This window comes from Homo sapiens, chromosome 11, assembly GCF_000001405.40.
Source record: "Homo sapiens chromosome 11, GRCh38.p14 Primary Assembly".
Taxonomy (NCBI): domain Eukaryota; kingdom Metazoa; phylum Chordata; class Mammalia; order Primates; family Hominidae; genus Homo; species Homo sapiens.
Genome location: NC_000011.10, coordinates 44,139,959 through 44,159,227, shown reverse-complemented (window position 1 = coordinate 44,159,227; position 19,269 = coordinate 44,139,959). Strand labels below are relative to the sequence as shown.

The following is a 19,269-nucleotide window of genomic DNA, read 5'->3' as shown; positions in this document are numbered from 1 at the left end:
AGCAATAATGACTGAGGATTTTACCAAAATAATATCAAGATACCAAACTACAGATCCAGGAAGCTCAGAGAACAATAAACAGAATAAATGAAGAAAAAAAAAAAAAGAACGAAAGCAAAAACCCTAAAAATGTTAAGAAAAGAAAACCCAAAAAACCCAAAAACCACACCTAGCATATGGTATGCAAACTTCAGAAAATCAAACATAAAGAAAAAAAATCTCTATAGATGCCAGGGGTAGGGGAAAACACCTTACCTACAGAGGAGCAAGGATAAGAATTTCATCTGACTTCTCCTAAAAACCATGCAATAGAAGGAAGTGGAGTGAAATATTTAAAGTGTTGAGAGAAAAAAACCACACACTTAAGAATTCTGTACCCTGCAAAATTATCCCCCAAGTGAAGGAGAAATAAAGATTTTCTCAGAAAAAAAATTGAGGAAATTTGTCAGTAGCCTTGCCTTGCAAGAAATGTTAAATGTTCTTCAGAGAGAAGGAAAATGATATAGGTCAGGAATTCAGATCTACATAAGGAAAGAAAGAGCATTAGAGAAAAAGCAAAGGTCAAATAAAATTCTTTCTTTTTATTAAAATTAAATTAATTTAAATATTATTAAAATCAATTTATTAATTTTTAATAAAAATCAATTTATTAAAATTAATTAATTTAATTAAAATTAAATTAATTTATTAAAAATTAAAAATTTTCAATTCTTACTATTTTGGAAGGAATCTTTCTTTGAGCAGCAGGTCTCGATAGTGGGCTTAAAATATTCATAAACCATGCTATAAACTGATACGCTGTCATCCAGGCTTTGCCATCCCATTTACAGAAAAAATAACAGTTTGTTCCAGATGATCACAGCAACAATGTATTGGGTTAATGGCTAAAGTACTCTGGGGTCCTAAATAAACTTGAAAGGCAGTCCAGGCCACAAGGATGGCAATTCCTGGGCAAGTCTGGGCTCAGAACCAGCAGACTCGGGGTGCATGTGGCCTACATATATACACCAGCTGCTGGTACAGTAAAGTGGGTGCTTGTGTCACTGCTCCCCCAACCTCAGGCAGTGCAGCTCACAGCTCCAGGAAAGACCTTTTCCTTCCACTTGAGGAGAGGAGAGGGAACAATAAAGAGGACTTCATCTTCCAACTTGGATACTAGCTCAACCACAGCAGAATAGGGCAGCAGGCAGAGTCCTGAAACCCTCATTCCAGGCCCTAGTTCTAGACACACACTGGGCCAGAAGGAAACTTGCTCCCTTGAAGAGAAGGGCCCAGTGCTGGTAGGATTCAGTCTGCTGCCTTAAGAGCACTGGGCCCTGAATAAACATCAGTGGTACACAGGCAGTTCTCACTGTGGGCCCTGGGTAAGACTTATGGCTGTGCTGGCTTCAGGTATGACCCAGCACATTCACAGCTGTGGTGGCCACTGGGAGAGACTCCTCCTGCTCAGGGGAAGGAGAGAGAAAAGGGGGCTTTGTTTTGCAGTTTGGGGACCAGCTTGGCCATAGCAGGGTAGAGTACCAAGTAGACTTTGGGGTCTTATCCCAGGCCTTGGTTCCTGGATGGCGTTTCTAGACTCACCCTGGGCCAGAGGGGAGACTGCTGCCCCGAAGGGAGCGACCCAGGCCTGAGAGCATTCACCACAAGCCGACTGAAGAGCCCTTGAGCCTTGACTGAACATCAGCCAGTGGCCAGGCTGTACTTGCCATGGGCCAAGGGCAGTGGTGGCCATGAAGAGAGACTTCTTCTACATGTGGAAAGGAGAGGGAAAAGTGGGAAGGACTTGCAGCTTGGATGCCAGCTCAGCCACGTAGAATAGAGAACCAAGTAGATTCCTAAGGTTCCCAACTCCAAGCCCTGGCTCCCAGATGGCATTTCTGGTCATGACTTGGGCCAGGGGTGAGGCCTGCTGTCCTGCAGAGGACATAAGCCAGAATGGATTTGCCACCTGCTGACTGAAGAGCCCCTGGAGCCTAAGTGAACATCAGAAGCAGCCAGGCAGCGGTCACTGCAGGCCCTGGGAAAGATCCAGTGCTGTGCTCACTTTGGATCTGATCCAGCACAGTCCAAGCAGCGGTGACCACAGGACTGCCTGTGTCACCCATTCCCCAGTTCTAGGCAGCTCATCACAGAGACAGAGACTCCATTTGTTAGGGAGAAAGTAAGAAAAGAGAACAAGAGACTTTGCCTAGTACCCAGCGAATTCTTCCAGATCTTATCCGTGACCACCAAGGCTGTACCTTCGTGAGTCCATAAGACTCACAGTACTGGGCTTGGAGTGCTGCCCCCAATGCAGAACGGCTGCAGTGACCAAGATTTAGATCACAACACTCAATTTCCTTTGAATACGTAGAAAGCCTTCCTAAGAAGGATGGGTACAAACAAGCCCAGACTGCAGAGACTACAATAAATACCTAACTCTTCAATGCCTAGACATTGACAAACATCCACAAGCATCAAGAACATTCAGGAAAACATGACCTAGCCAAATGAACTAAATAAGTCATCAGTGACCAATCCTGGAGTGACAGAGACATGTGACCTTTCAGACAGAGAATTCAAATTAGCTCTTTTGAGGAAGCTTGAGGAAATTCAAGACAACAGAGAGAAGGAATTCAGAATTCTAACAGATAAATTTAACAAAGGAGATTGAAATAATTTTTGAAAATCAAGCAGAAATTCTGGAGCTAAAAATTTCCATTCACAAACTGAAGAATACATCAATCTCTCAACAGCAGAATTTATCAAGCAAAAGAAAGAATTAGTGAGCTTGAAAACATAGAGAGAGGAGACAAAAGAAAACAGAATAAGAAAGAATGAAGCATGCCTACAAGATCTATAAAGTAGCTTCAAAAGGGCGAATCTAAGAGTTATTGGCCTTAAAGAAGAGGTGGAAAGAGAGATTGAGGTAGAAAGTTTATTCAAAGGGATAATAATAGAGAACTTTCCAAACCTGCAGCAAGATATCAATATTCAAGTATTAGAAGGTTATAGAACACCAAGCAGATTGAACCCCAAAGAAGACTATCTCAAGTCATTTAATAATCACACTTCCAAAGGTCAAGAAAAAAGGAAGGATCCTAAAAGCAGCAAGAGAAAAGAAACAAATAACATATAAAGGAGCTCAAATACATCTGGCAGCAGACTTTTCAGTGGAAACCTTACAGGCTAGAAGAAAGTGACATGACATATTTGAAGTGCTGAAGGAAAAAAGCTTTTAGAGTATATCTGGCAAAAATGTTCTTCAAACATAAAGGAGGAATACTTTCCCGGACAAACAAAGGCTGAGGGATTTCATCAACACTAGACCTGTCTTATAAGAAATACTAAAGAGTTATTCAATCCGAAAGAAAAGGATGTTAACAAGCAATAAGAAATCGTCTGAAGGTACAAAACCCACCGGTAATAGCAAGTCCACAGACACACACAGAATATTATAACACTGTAATTATGGTGTGTAAACTATTCATATCTTGGGTAGAAAGATTAAAAGATGAACCTAACAAAAATAGCTACAACAACTTTTCAAGACATAGGCAGTATCATAAAATATAAATAAAAACAAAATGTTAAAAGGTAGGGAGGAGTGAAGTTGAAGTGTAAGTTTTCATTAGTTTTCTCTTTGCTTGTTAGCTTGTTTTTGCAATCAGTGTTAAGTTGTCATCAGTTTAAAATAATGGATTATAAAATGTTATTTGTAAGCCTCATGGTAACCTTAAACTATAAAAAAAATCCTGCAACAGATACACACAAAAAAATAGAAAGCAAGAAATTAAATCATACTACCAGAGAAAATCACCTTCACAAAAAGGAAGACAGGACAGAAGCAAGGAAAAATAAGAAGATCACAAAAGAACCAGGAAACAAATAACAAAATGGCAGGAATAAGTCCTTAACTTATCAATAACACGGAATGAAGAAGAAGGAAACTAGGTACCTATCTCTCACCATGTACAAAAATCAAATCAAAATGGATTAAAGACTTAGACTAAGATCTCAAACCATGAAACTATTCAAAGAAAACACTAGGGAAACTGTCCAGGACATTGGTCTAGGCAAAGATTTCTTGAGTAATACCCCCAAAGCACAGGCAATCAAATGGGCAAATGGGATCACAGAGTTAAAAAGCTTCTGCATAGCAAAGGAAACAATCAACAAAATGAAGAGACAACCAAAAGAATGGGAGAAAATATCTGCAAACAATCCATCTGACAAGGGATTAATAACCAGAATATATAAGGAGCTCAAACAACTTAATAGCAAAAAAAAAATCTAATTTAAAAATGGGCAAAATTAAGTCATGTTGTTACAAGACCTGAAAAGGTGCTCAACATCATTGATCATTAGAGAAATGCAAATCAAAACTCTAATAAGATATCATCTCCTCCTAGTTAAAATGGCTTTTAACCAAAAGACAGGCAATAATGAATGCTGGTGAGGATGTAGAGAAAATGGAACCCTCATACAGTGTTGGTGGGAATGTAAACAGGTACAGCATCTATGGAGAACAGTACAGAGGCTCCTCAAAAAACTAAAAATAGAACTAAACTATGATCCAGCAATCCCAATGCTAGGTATATATATCAAAAGAAAGGAAATCAGTATATCGAAGAGGTATCTATACTCCCATGCTTATAATAGCACTATTCACAACAGCCAAGATTTGGAAGCAACCTAAGTGTCCATCAACAAATGAATGAATAAAGAAAATGTGGTACTTATACACAATGGAGAACTACTCAATTGTTAAAAAGAATGAGATCCTGTCATTTGCAACATGGATGGAAATGGAGGTCATTATGTTAAGTGAAATAAGCCAGGTGCAGAAAGACAACTTTGGCATGTTCTCACTCATTTGTAGGAGCTAAAAATTAAAACAACTGAACTCAAAGAGATAGAAGGTAGAATGATGATCACCAGAGGCTGGGAAGGGTGGGGAGTGGTAAGTAGGGATGGTTAATGGGTACAAAAATATAGTTAGATAGAATAAATAAGATATAGTATTTGATAGTGCAACAGAGTGACTATAGTCAACAATAATTTATTGTACATCTCAAAATGACTAAAAGACTATAGTTGGAACGTCTGTAACACAAAGAAATGATAAATGCTTGAGGGGATAGATACCCAATTTTCCCTAATGTGATAATTACCCATTGTATGCCTGTATCAAAATTATCTCAGGTACCCTATAAATATATATACCTACTATGTACCCATAAAATTTTTTAATTAAAAAAAAAACAGAAAACTACAGACCAATATCTCTCATGAAAATAGAAGCAAAAAATTCTAAAAAAAAACAACAACAACCAGTATTCAAATCCAACATTGTGTAAAAAGAATTAAACACCATGATCAAGTGAGATTTATCCCAGGTATGCAAGGCTGGTTCAGCTTTCACAGATCAATTAATGTAATCCACCACATCAACAAGCTAAAGAGAAAAAAATCCAAGAGCACACCAATAGATACAGAAAAAGCCTTTGACCAAATCCAATACTTATTCATGATAAAAACTCTCAGCAAACTAGGAATAGAAGGAAATTTCCTCTAGTTGATAAAGAATATCTACAAAAAAACCTACTGCTTATATCATAATGATGAAAAATTCAAAGCTTTTCTACTCAGACCAGCAACAAGGCAAAGATGTCCCCTCTCACACTCCTTTTCAACACCATACTGAAAGTCCTAGCCAATGCAGTAAGTCAAGAAAAAAAAAATACAAGGTATATATATTGGGAAAAAAGAAATAAAACTGTCTTTGTTCACAGATAACATGATTGTTTATATAGAGAATCCAACAAAATCAACAACAACAACAAAATGGAACTAATAAGCAGTTACTGCAAGATGGCAGGATATAAGTTTAATATACAAAAATCAATCCCTTTCATATACACTAGCAATGAATAAGTGGAATTTGAAATTTAAAACCCATCACCATTTACATTAGCACTGAAAACAATGAAATAAGTATAAATCTAACAAAATATGTATAAGATCTATAAGAGTAAAAATATAAAACTCTGATGAAAGATATCAAATAACTTAAATAAATGGAGAGCTATTCTATATTCCTAGCTGGGAGGACTCAATATTGTCAAGATGTCGGTTCTTCCCAACTTGAATTATAGATTCAACAAAATTTCAGTAAAAATCTCAGCAAGTTATTTTGTGGCTATCAACAAACTGATTCTAAATTTGTATAGAGAGGTAAAGATCCAGAATAGGCAACTCAATATTGAAGAACAAAGTCAGAAGACTGAGACTACCAAACTCCAAAACTTAAAATAAAGCTACAGTCATCAAGACAGTGTGATATTGGTGAAAGAATAGACAGATCAACGGAACAGAATAGAGAGCCCAGACACAGACCTACATAAATATACCTGAATGATCTTTGACAAAGGAGCAAAAACAATACATATGAAGAAAAGACAGTCTTTCCACAAATGGTGCTGAAACAACTGGACATCTACATACAAAAAAATCTAGACAGATTTTACATCCTTCAAAAAAAATTTACTCACAATGGATCACTGACCTAAATATAAAATGTAAAATTATAAACTCCAGCAGGGTGCAGTGGCTCATGCCCGTAATCTCAGCACTTTGGGAAGGCGAGGAGGGCAGATCACCTGAGGTCAGGAGTTCAAGACCAGCCTGGCCAACATGATGAAAACCCGTCTCTACTAAAAATACAAAGATTAGCCGGGTGTGGTGGTGTGCACCTGTAGTCCCAGCTACTTGGGAAGCTGAGGCATGAGAACTGCTTGAACCCAGAAGGAGGAGGCTGCAGTGAGCTGAGAACACACCACTGCACTCCAGCCTGGGTGATGAAATGATACTGTCTCAAAAACAACAACAACAACAACAACAACCCTATAAAACTCCTAGATGATAACTTAGGAGAAAACCTAGATGGCCTTGGTATGGCAATGACTTTTTAGGTACAATACCAAAGATATAACCCATGAAATAAATAATAGATAAGCTGGACTTCATTAATATTAAACACTCCTGATGTGCAACAAATAATGTCAAGAGAATGAGAAAATAAGCCACAGGCTGGGAGAAAACATTTGCAAAGGACACGACTAATAAGGGACTGTTCTCCAAAATAAACAAAATACTCGTAAAACTCTACAATAAGAAAGTGAACAATCAGATTAAAAAATGGCAAAAGACCTGAACAGACACCTTACCAAAGAACATACATAGATGGCAAGTAAGCATATGAAAAGATGTTCAATATCACATATCATTAAGGAATTATAAATTAAAACAGCAATAAGATACAAATACATATCTATTAGAATGGCCAAAATCCAAAGCACTGAGAACACCAAATGTTGGTGAAGATGTAGGGCAACAGGAACTGTCATTCATTCCAGGTGGGAAAGCAAAGTGGTACAGCCACTTTGGAAGATAGTTTGGTAGGTTCCTACAAAACTAAACGTATTCTTGCCATGCAAGCCAGCAACTGTGCTCCCTGAAGGTTACCCAAATGCACTGAAAACTTACATCTACTCGAAAACCTGCACACAGATGTTTACAGCAGCTTTATTCATATACAAAACATAGAAGGAATCAAGATGCCCTTCAGTAGGTGAATAAACTGTGGTACATCCAGACAATGGAATATTATTTAGCACTGAAAAGAAATGAGCTACCAAGCCATGAAGACACATGGAGGAAACTTAAATGCATATTACTAAGTAAAAGAAGCCAAACTGAAGGGGCTACATACTATATAATTTCAACTATATGACTTCAAAAAAAGGCAAAACCACAGAGACAGTAAAAAGATCAATGGTTTCCGAGAGTTGGGAGAAGGGAGCAATTAATAGGCAGAGCACAGAGGATTTTTAGGGCAATGGAACTATTCTGTATATTACAATGGTAGATACATGTTTGTCCAAACCCATACAATGTAAAATATCAAGAGTGAACCCTAATGTAAATTATGGACTTCATGTGATAATGATGTGCCAGTGTAGATTCATGAACTGTAAGAAATGTACCACTATGGTGTTCAGTAAATAGTGGGGTATGTTGGACAACTATGAGGATGGGGGATATATGGGAACTCTTTGTAGTTTCTGCTCAATTTTGCTGTGAACCTAAAACTCTCCTAAAAATCTAAAGTTTATTAATTTAAAAAATCCTATCTGTACTTTAATGTTCATCTCTTCCTTGAAACTAGCCTTAATTCTTTTCTAATTCATCTGACAATTTTTCAAAACAATCAGCATCTATTTTCTGCCCCATTGTAATTCTACGGGGGAAAAGCTTATCTTCCCAGACAGATCAAAAACTCTCTGATGGTTGGCACACAATGTTAAGCAAAATTTACTAGTCCTCACCTATGGGCAAGGACTCAAGAAACCAGCCCATAAATACTACAGCTGTTGTATAATAGGTCTGTGGATTCTTACAGCTTCTTTATACTAGGATCCTGAATTTCCTCTAGAGTAAGGCCCATGTGTCCCCCAAAATTATAAATGGATTAAGGAGAGAGAACTCCATCCTTAACATCACAATTTTCTCAGCAACAGTAAGGCAAGACTACACGTGCTTTGACTAGTAGAGACTCTATTTTAAGCTGTGTTGTTCCAGAGGAACAGCTGAGAACCATTTTAAATGTAGCCACTGCCCAGTGCAAGATCTAGTGTATCACACCTTAGTGAACACATATTGCTTTCTTCCCAGGATCTCCTATACAGCCCAATAATTCTTGCTAGGAATTAATTTCTCCTAGGATTTAATCTCAATTTTCTTTTTACCTTATCCCACATTTCCATCCTTCTAAAAATATGTAAGAATGTAGAATCCACGATGGGTTGTTCATTATTGTGGTTTTGTCTTCTTAAAAATAGTCTCCACCCAGTTGGCACATATGTAGTGAAAAGGAAAAAAAAAGTTTTAATATTAACAAACACAATTATGAAACTCTGTGCCATACTAAATGGACCTTATTTCTCTCTCTCTCGCCCTTCTCAGGATTTTGACAACTTGCTCATGACCTTACCCCTTGGTTAGCTGCAAAGATCTTGCTTGTTTAAATCTAACTTTCTCCACTCCTAGCATTTTTGTTAACCATCTCTTAACCTCCTCCAGTTTAATCCCATTTCCCTGGTGCTGAGGAAAAAAAAGGCTCTACACAATCTTCCAGGCCATGTTTCCCTAGCATGTTCCAAAGAATTTCTGAAGAACTCTCAACATCAGCAGCAGCCCCATCCACATATAAAAAGTTGAATATACAACAATTTCCTCTTTGTGTAGTTTAATTTTGGGGAGTTCTAAATCTATTATTACATCCAAAACTATGAGTCACTCAAAGGTTAGAAAAACAAGAAAATACATGGACCAGCACTCAAATCCTAATCTCAAACACAGTGGCCTGGAACATTCCCAAAGGCCCATATATAAGCACATGTCATCCATTTCGAAGCATATTACTTCCTTTCATCTCCAGTCTCAGTATTTATATTTGTGGGGGGTAATTAAAGAATTAACATGCAGTTAAGTTCCACCAGAGAAAATGGCTAAAGCATATATTCGTTAATGACAAAAATGTAGGGAAGAGGTCTAAATGATGAAGTCCAGGACAATACTTTCTGATATCAAAATAGTGTACTCATGTAAGTTCACAAGAGTTTTTAGACAAGGTTTTATTTTCAAGGTCCAATACGTATTTACAAGCTCTTTACAAGCTTATATGGCATTGGATTACATGGTTGATTCCTATAAAGAGTTTAAAAACCTAGTTATCATCAGAGAAAGGATACAGAAAAAAGAAATAGAACATGGGACAAAGAGAGGCAAATGAAAAATGGGGATTCCAAACTCCAACTGTTTTTAAGACAGAGTCTTGCTCTGTCACCCTGCCTGAAGTGCAGTGGCATGATCACAGATCACTACAGCCTACATCTCCCAGGTTCAAGCAATCTTCCCACCTCAGCCTCTCGAGTAGCTGAGACTACAGGCATGCACCACCACACCCAGCTAAGTTTTTCATTTTCTGTAGAGATGGGGCCTTGCTGTGTTGCCCAGGCTGGTTTTGAGCTCCTGGGCCCAAGTGATCCTGTTGCCTCCACCTCCCAAAGTGCTGGGATTACAGGCCTGAGCTACTGCACCCAACCCCAAACTCTTTTCTTTCTCTAAGTCATGCCATGGAGTTTGGAATAAGACAAGTAAACTTGCAATTAGAAGGAAAACATTACAAAAAGGCAGGACAAGCAACCTAGAAACAATCTTCAACACAGGAATTTCCCAAAAAAATGTATTTACCTCAGTGTAAAAGACAAATACCCCTGGAGAAAGGGTGAAAAGTGAACTTAATGCTCACAGTTCATTCTGCTTCCAACATCTGTGACCTCAGATAATGACGATGCTCACCATCATCACTATCAGCATCATCTAACACCTGTTCCCACCAGAGGAATGTAGCTTCCAAGCAGGCAGAGATTTGTGTCTGTTAACTGTGGCATCTATAGCACTCAGAACTATACCCGAACAAAGCAGGTGCTCAATAAATATCTGTTGATTAAATTAGGCAGTTATTATGTATTGGGCGCTATTTTAAGTATTTTACCTGTATTAATTTATTTAATCCTCACAACCCAATTATCCCTATTTTATGATGAGAAAATTGAGCCACTGACAGGTTCATGGGGGTTTACTGGTCCTGCTTTTTTCTAGACTTCCTGATTTACCTTGGGTAACACTGGAGCATGTGCTGGGCTATGGTGCTGCACAGATTCCTAAAGGAATCAATCAGTGACTTCAAGACTCCTAATGCTCCATAAAGTTCAACTTTTCCAGAAGTCTCCCTTTCTCAGCCACAGTCCTATGTGCTCTTGGCTAATTTAAGAGAGAAATTTAACCTCTGACCCAACACAGTGGCAAGGACTGTTATGTGTCCATCTTGAGTGATGTTGGAAGACCCTCCTTAGAATAACAATAACCAAGAAGTTTCCTCAACAACATTTAGGGAGTAGTTGTCTAGGTAACATAGTACCCACATTCACTCCTGATCTCTTTCTACCTTGATTTCTTTTATTGTAACACAGTTGGGAGTTAGTCCTTACTAGAGAATATAAAAACAAACAGATGATGAAATGGAGACATTTAAAGCTAAATAACTCATCCAAAGTCATGCACTAAGAATCTTGAAAAGGACAGGAGGGAAACAGATGCACATGACTGCTGGCCGTCCCACTACCTCTCATGCCACTATTAGTACTCCAACGTGCCTTGCTCCAAGCGTGATGCTCAGCTCACAATTCCCTTGAGAGTTACTTCCTTGAATATAGGGAGGATCCCACAGCACCTAAAATAGTAGCTTGCTGCTGGATAAAAATAAACCTCCTCTCTCAGGTCCAAAAATATAGAATGTTAAATGTCCCAATTATGTCAACAAATTTGCTACAAAAAAAAAAAAAAAGACAATGTGGAGTACAAGGGGGAAAATGCTCAATTAAAAAAAAAAAAATTAGCTGGGGGTGGTGGCAGGCGCCTGTAGTCCCAGCTACACGGGAGGCTGAGGCAGGAGAATGGCGTGAACCCGGGAGGCGGAGCTTGCAGTGAGCAGAGATCACGCCACTGCACTCCAACCTGGGTGACAGAGCAGGACTCTGTCTCAAAACAACAACAACAAAAAACCAGGTATCTTCCTGCCCAGGCCTAGCCCATTAATAATTAATGCATATAATATGGCTTGCTATTAAAGAAGTGTGTTATTAGTAAACTCTGCTTTACTAGTGAATCAATGAATCAATAGGGAAAACATTAGAAGAAATTTATTTACTCAGGCTTCTGAGTTTATCTTCTGTAAGATAGTGTCTCCTTAATCTTCTAAACACTTTGTGCCCTGCCTACTAGTCAAGGAGAATCCAATGCTCTGAAAAACACAAATGAGGTAGGGAAGGCCATGACTTTATCTGGGCCAAGGAGACTACAATTCTATAATTTTAAAAAAGGTTTTTAAAAAATTGCTGAAAAGATTTCTTCTTTATTACAGTTTACTACCACATTAACACTCCATCAACCTGGCTGATTCAGAGAGCTAGGGTGTACAAGTATGTGCTGGGGCGGGTTGATCTAGCTGATGCATCTAGGTGAGGCAACAAAAGGCAGGCATGCAATGTTACAAGGATAAATTAACAATCTCTCTTTAGGGGTAGAGATATGTTACTTTCATAAATCTGTTTCCTCTGCCACCTTCTGTCCTCCCCATCCCCCAAATCAACCATCTTGAGTGATGTAAGCGTAAGAATGAAGAATTGCTTTTATTATAAGAGGTTTTCTGTATTATTAAATCTTTTTAAAATTCTCAAGCATTTGTTAAAGGACCAAAGCTCTCAATCTAGTGTAGAATCCTGAACCTTCAACCTTCCCCTTCTGGAATTAAAACATAAACTGTGATATGCAAAATTTCAATGAAGAAAAAAGTCTTCTCCAAGAATCTTTCCATTGATACCACAAAACAAAACAAAACTGAGCATTTATTAGGCTTAATAAACTACTTTAAGAATCTAACTTACCCTGTGGTGATTAGGGAACCATGAGTAGAAGTCCCACCTTGTGGATGAGGTATCCAGGGCAGAGTCGCCTCACAAATTCTGAGTTGAGCCCAACAGGCCGGTTCTCAGTGTTTCAACTTGCAACGGAATGAGGTGGTAGTGAAAGCGCCCCTCTTCACTGGCTCCTATCCCGTCTGGCCTTACACCATGACTACTGCTTATACTTGATAAGGTGTTGAGAATGGAGTTAGGAGAAAACACCACAGAGGTGCACTCCAGTCAGAAGCAAAACCCTTTCTCAACTGAGCCACTAAATGACAGCTACTGACTTTGAGTCTTATACTTTATACAGACCTGGGGCTGAGCTGAATTGTCTACCCCAAATTCACATGTTGACACCCTCACCCCTAGCATCTCAAAATGTAACTGTATTTAGAGAAAGGGCCTTTTCAAAGAGGTGATTAAGTGAAAATGAGGCTGTTAGGGTGGGCCCTGATCCAATCTGGTGTCCTTAAAGAAGAGGAATTTGGACACACAGAGTGACACCAGAGGTGCGTGAATACAGAGGGACGACACGTGAAGAGGAGGCAAGAGGGCAGCCATCTGCGAGACAAGCAGAGAAGCCTCAGAAGAAACCCTCCCTGCCAACTCGTTGATCTTGGGCTTCCAGCCTCCAGAACTGTGAGAAATAGATTTCTGTTGTTTAAGCCACCCCGTCTGTGGTATTTTGTTATGGCAGCTCTAGCAAACTAATATAGACACTAATGGACATCACATACCTCTTCCTTCAAAAATGTTGGCCACTTGAGAACAAGAACCATGGCTTGTACAGCTCTGAATTGTGTATAGTATATTACCCAAAGTAGGCATTTTACAAATATTTTAGATGATTATAATAGTTCAAGAGTACTCTAAACAAGGACAAAAGAGAGCTTTATAAATAAAGTTCATAGTTTTTAGTCATATGCCAAAATTCTTCCCAATCTTGAATCTGTCACTTAAGTTTTATAACCTCAGGCCATCTACTCAGCCTCTAAAGTTCATTTTCCTCCTTTATAAAAATAAGAATAATAGCTACCTCATCAAGTTTTCATGAGGAAGCTCCCAGTACAGTACCAGACACAGTAGTTAACACAAATGTTAATTTGGCCCTTCCCTTTGCAACTTGTGAAATGTGAGCTCATGATCCTACTCATGAAAATACCCATGACCATAGAACAAGACAATGGTAGAAACAGGCCTAACTCTTCTGATAACTCTTCTGAAAACTTAAACTTTGCTCTAAGGCAGAAAGAGACCTTTGTCCTTTCTGCTAAAAGTAGTATTATAATATCATCAATAATATTCTATTTGAATTGTAGAAAAGCAAAGACTTCAATGGATATTATTTGCTCCTTTTCTATGCTAAAGGCATCATGAGTAAAAGAGGCATTTTCTACTCAATGTTTTTAGAATGAGATGTTTGATTTCTTGCCAAAGAAGCTATACTGAAGTCATCTAATATCGACAGCTCCCTGGATTTGCTTCTAAATACCAACAGTTTTCACTTCTGCTCCTCAGGCAAGAACCCAAGCAGATGCGGGAGGACAATCCATGCTATTTCTATGTCTTCTTGCAAGATCTAGTTTTTTTCTGAAGATGGAATGGAATCAAGAAGGCAAAGAAAACTACAGCCGGGCTCTCTCACAACTAGGACTTCTGTGATCTGAATGCTTTAGGACTGAACACACAGCCTCATGACACTTCCACTACACCATCTTCACCACTATGTTCCCAGACACCAAAGATGCTTGTGATTTGCATGCTTTTGCCCTATTAAAAAAAAACTTTCAAAATAAATGCTACTTGGGGAACGTTAGAAGAATAAGGGGTGAAAGAGCTTGACAGTAAGAGAGGACTTCATGAATACTCTGAGGGAACGCTCCCATGTTATGACCTCCTGTCCTCCAGGAAACAAGAAGGGGTCAAGAAGGGAAAAGGGGAAGCCTGAGTCATGTTTCTTGGCATGTGACAGACAGCTCCTGAAATAGAAAGCCCTAGGTTTCAAGTCTCAGGGGTATCACCTTCAAATATGTCAATGTTCTAAGGGTGGATCGGTTTTCCCAACTGCTGAAACCCTGCTGTGAGGTGAGGTCCCTAGCAAAACACAAGCCTCTGACTGGGAGCCTTTGAGGTGGCAGGAGCCATGAGGAGTTCAAAGGCAAGGCCGGCCAGTGGCTTGCACCTCCAAGAGCCATTGGGGTGAAAGGTTACTAAAGCAGGAGCCACTGACCAATAAAACTGTGTTTGGTCAAGCCTTCTCAGCAAAGAGACTAGAGATTCATTTCTGCTGGGCCCGGTTTTCTAAGTCACCCATGCCTGTGAATCCCACTGTTCCCTAGGCCAGATCAGGGAGTTCATTTGGTGATTAGCAGCTGACCAGTTCTCTCTCCTGGCTGGTTCCATGAAGAGCTGAAAGGTGAATTGGAAACCTTTAATCAAGATGTGTCATCAAAAATAAATAAATAAGAGCACAACTTGGGTCAACTAGCTATAAAGGAATCTGCCTGGGGCGAGATTTTCCATGTTTGCTATGCTAAAACCAGGAGAAAGAAAGCGTAAGTTTGTTTGATTAGAGAAAGCAAATCTAAAACAAGCCTCACTCCAACCAGGCACACTTGAAAGACCTGCTCCTTTTAATTAAAACACACACACAAACACAACACATGAAGGGAGTAAGACGGGAGAAATCAAAAGCTCACTTTATCCCCAATGCTGCTATCATGACAGCCATGTTAGCGTGACGTTCTCTACTCTATTTTCTTTCCCACATAGCAATGATTCCGGAGAACACCAAGGAGACACTCTCTGGCAGGTTTTCCTTTTGGCCATGAATACTAACTCAGCAGTCAGGTAGCACAGCAGCCCTGTCCACTATTATTACTACACATTCCTGGAAAAATGACATTGAGAATCGTGTAGGTCCAATACCATCTATCACTGCTGCACCTGACCAGAGGCACATGAGTCCTCTATGAACTGCTTGCTGGTAGAAAGCCCCATCTTCTGATTAAGGGTTATAGGGACAAGCTCTGCTGGTGATTCCGAGGGAAGACCCCTGTGTATGTTTCCCAAATTGAGACTCTTGAAAAGAGGGAGCTACACTTGCTATGTCAGTGGCTCTCACTTTTTCTCCTTGCCCCTTCTCATCTGAAGGACGACAAACACCTATGAGTAGGAGTAACTGTGGTTTGTTATGGCAGGGACTCTCAAGACAGATTCATGTCCCAAGCCCCCAGCCCAGAAAGCCTACAAGAGTGGGAGGAGTAGGAGTGATATGTGAAGTTTGAAAATTCCCCCAGGGAATCATATCCCTCTCACATCTCACAGTTAAAAGTTGCTACTGGAGAAGATTAGACAGTTGAACTCCTTCTCTTCTATAGTTTCTAATCTGGAAGTATTTCCAAGGCCAGGTGTGATGGCTCATGCCTGTAATCCCAGCACTCTGGGAGGCCAAGGCAGGTGGATCACCTGAAGTCAGGAGTTCAAGACCTGCCTGGTCAACATAGTGAAACCCTGTCTCTACTAAAAATACAAAAATTAGCCAGGTGTGGTGGTGCACACCTGTAATCCCAGCTATTCGGAAGGCTGAGGCAGGAGAATCGCTCGAACCTGGGAGGCAGAAGTTGCAGTGAGCCCAGATTGCGCCACTGCACTCCAGCCTAGGCGACAGAGTAAGACTCTATTTCAAAAAATTTAAGTAAATAAATGAAAGTATTTCCAAAGATTATATATCTGATATATCATATGTGAATTCATTTATAGCTTGCTAGGCAAAGAGATTCGGGAGGAATCATGATTTGGAGTTATTCTAAGCTGAAGGGAGCAGGATCAGGTCTAATATTCCCTATGCACTGCTTCACAGTCATGAGCATGTTACTCAGACCCTTCAGTGTATCACTGGCCTGTAGGTCTCCTCATTCCCATCAAATGCCAGAATACCACACTGCTGCCCTCAACCATAGTCTGCAGCTTAAAACCAAAGGAAAAACTCAAAGGTCTTCCTAAAATATAAATAATACATGTATAAGATCATTAAATCCTGATCAAATTAACCTGAAACTTTAAAAAAGTTCAGTATAGATAGACTTCAAACATTTGGAAAAAAACCACTTGTCCCTCTTCATAAGAAAGTATTGGAATCTGAAGGAACAAGCAAACTGTTTTCCTGCTATTAAACTCCTTATCAAAATGGGCAGTAACTACCCACTGAAATATAACAAATTAGCCTTTAAGTTACCGGTAGAAAAATAACTATATTGCCAGAAATGGCTTAAGTGGAGCTATCTTGTACTCTGAGTGAAGATAAAGAAATAAATATATGTGACTGTTGTCTAAACATTCCCAAGAACAGTAGCACAGAATTATAAGATGAATTGTGCTATTATAAAACTATAAATTATGCCATGCCAAAAATAATTAGGCAACTCCAAATTCTCTCAGCCTCTGCAATGCTTAAGGAGACAGAATATATGTAAGTATATAGTAAGTTATTTTAATATTTATAAATAGAGACAGAAATCCTATGTTTCTGTTGTTGCCAATATTTGTAGCATGTTAGCCATCTACATACTAAATTCAGGCAAATAAACAAAATGACTTATTTTATTAATCAGTTTAACCCTTATTTGAAGGTTTGAAAACACTGAGTTCTCTACCAAACACATTGACACTTGATACTTTACAAGTTATTGTATTGTAAACCTAGATATTTGTCTAAGTAGGTACGGCATGAATTCATAAACCTGCACTTCGCTTCCTGTAATGATCATTATTTCTCAGAAATATTTGTCAAATAGTCCCACCCTGTGGGAAACCAGCCCCAAGTAATCAGAGATTTCTTACATAGGCTGCAAATTAACATTTAACACTTTTATTAGGGAGGCTATTTCCTAAAGCAATATCCCATATTGGGGATTCATGACAAGGGATTAAACCGATGGTTAACTTTAGAGACTATTCTCCAACAAATGCCCAAGGAGGAAAGTGTGACCATTTTACCCGCCACCTTCAAAAGGCTATGTAATGAAGATTGTTCATGATCATAAATTTACTGACAACTTTCAACATACTTAAAAGTTGTTTAGTTTGTTAAGAGTATAGTATAAGCAATAACACCCAGTTCACTGTCCTAAATTAAACTTAACTAATTAGATGATATCAACTTAGTCATCAGAAAAGTATGGAAAAGTGATTCTACCACTTTGGAGTTTGGGGCATTTTGCTTTGTTTTGCTGCTCATTTGGTTTTTGTACAATTACAGTTGGTCCCTTGTATTTGCGGTTCTGTATCTGTGGTTCCACATCCATGGATTCAACCAATCACAGATCAAAAATATTCGGAAAAAAAACTGTGCCTGTACTGAACATACATAAAATTTTCTTCCTTTCACTTATTCCCTAAACAATACAGTATAATAACTATCTGCACAGCATTTACATTGTATTAGGAAGTATAATTAATCTAGGGGTAATTTAAAGTATAAGGGAGGATATACATAGGTCATATGCAAATACTATGCCATTTTGTAGCAGAGACTTGAGCATCCTTGAGTTCTGGTATCTGCAGGAGGTCCTGGAACCAATCCCCCACAGATACTGAGGGATGACTGTACTCTTCCCCACAACAGCTACACGAGTAATAAAATGAATCAGTATATTTTATTATTTGTTCAATGACAATCCAAGATCAACAGCTATATATGTTTGACTAACTTACTATAAAAATTCTTGCTTTTGCCTCAACCTCAAGTTAAATGACTATTTTAAATGGAACACACTTGCAAAACTGCTCATGTCCACTTGAAAAAGGAAAAATAACATGTTTGTGCCAAAAAGCTGTATACAGAGTAGTTAGAAATATATATGCCCATTGGATTTTGCTTATCACTACTAACCTCTTCCTAAAAGCTTTAGTTAGAAGAAGAGCAGGAAGATATAAAGTACATTCTAAGGGCTTATTCTACCCATCCATCCCCCTTTGGAAGTCAAAGTTGGAAGGTTTAAAGGAGAAGGAGAGTAAGGATGCTCTTTTTAAAATGCCTGGAAAAACATTCTGGGCAGGAGATGCCAAAGATTTTGAAGCTCCCATCAAACCACTGGCCTTGATCCAGGTAATGGTTTTTCCTTCCCCTCAGCTGTCTGCTGCAGTTTTCCAGCAAAGAAAGAAAGAAAAGTGGTAGGATAGAGGCAGGAGCAGCCTCTAGTCTACTTCTCTATAACAGAGAGGGTAAAAAGGGCCAAGCATCGCAGGCTGACATTTATGGAGGGCCTGGTGTTTCCATGAAACTCTCTGGGAGGATTATTGAGGGTTAACAGTCTGTTCTAAAAGGGTCAGCAAAGCAGACTGATGAAAGTCCCTTTAAATTCGATAACAGTGATGCTGCGGAGGCAGAGACAGCAGGCTGGAGCTGGCAAAGACACGCAAGCAGAGGTCCAGCCAGTCAGACTGCCTTTAGGAAAAAATTCATTGCAAACCTGGCCACCCTAACCCTTCAAGTTGCCCAACTCACTTGCTGAAGCGTGAAAGCACAAACTGCCAGTGGAATGGCATTTCTAATCTTGGGATAAAAATAAAAGCCCTTGGAAAACCCTCTTTTGCCTAACCCTTCCTGCCCTGCCCCTACCAGTGGCCAACGGCGAGGTTCCGGACCTGCAAAGGTTAATTATCTTGCTAGTCTTTCACCTCTGCACCACTGCCC

General features: G+C 39.2%; 1 protein-coding gene across 9 annotated transcripts in view; it reads right to left on the bottom strand.

Annotated features, from left to right (window-relative positions):
- EXT2 (exostosin glycosyltransferase 2) overlaps nucleotides 1–19,269 on the bottom strand; it is a 156,285-nt gene that overhangs the window by 92,735 nt on the left and 44,281 nt on the right. The window contains exon 8 of one of the 9 annotated variants that reach the window (NM_001178083.3): nucleotides 14,889–14,981. The exons of the other annotated variants lie outside the window; for them this stretch is intronic. Within the exon in view, the coding sequence (NP_001171554.1) occupies nucleotides 14,889–14,981 (93 nt within the window). The remainder of the gene's footprint in view (nucleotides 1–14,888; nucleotides 14,982–19,269) is intronic. 9 annotated transcript variants of the gene reach the window in all.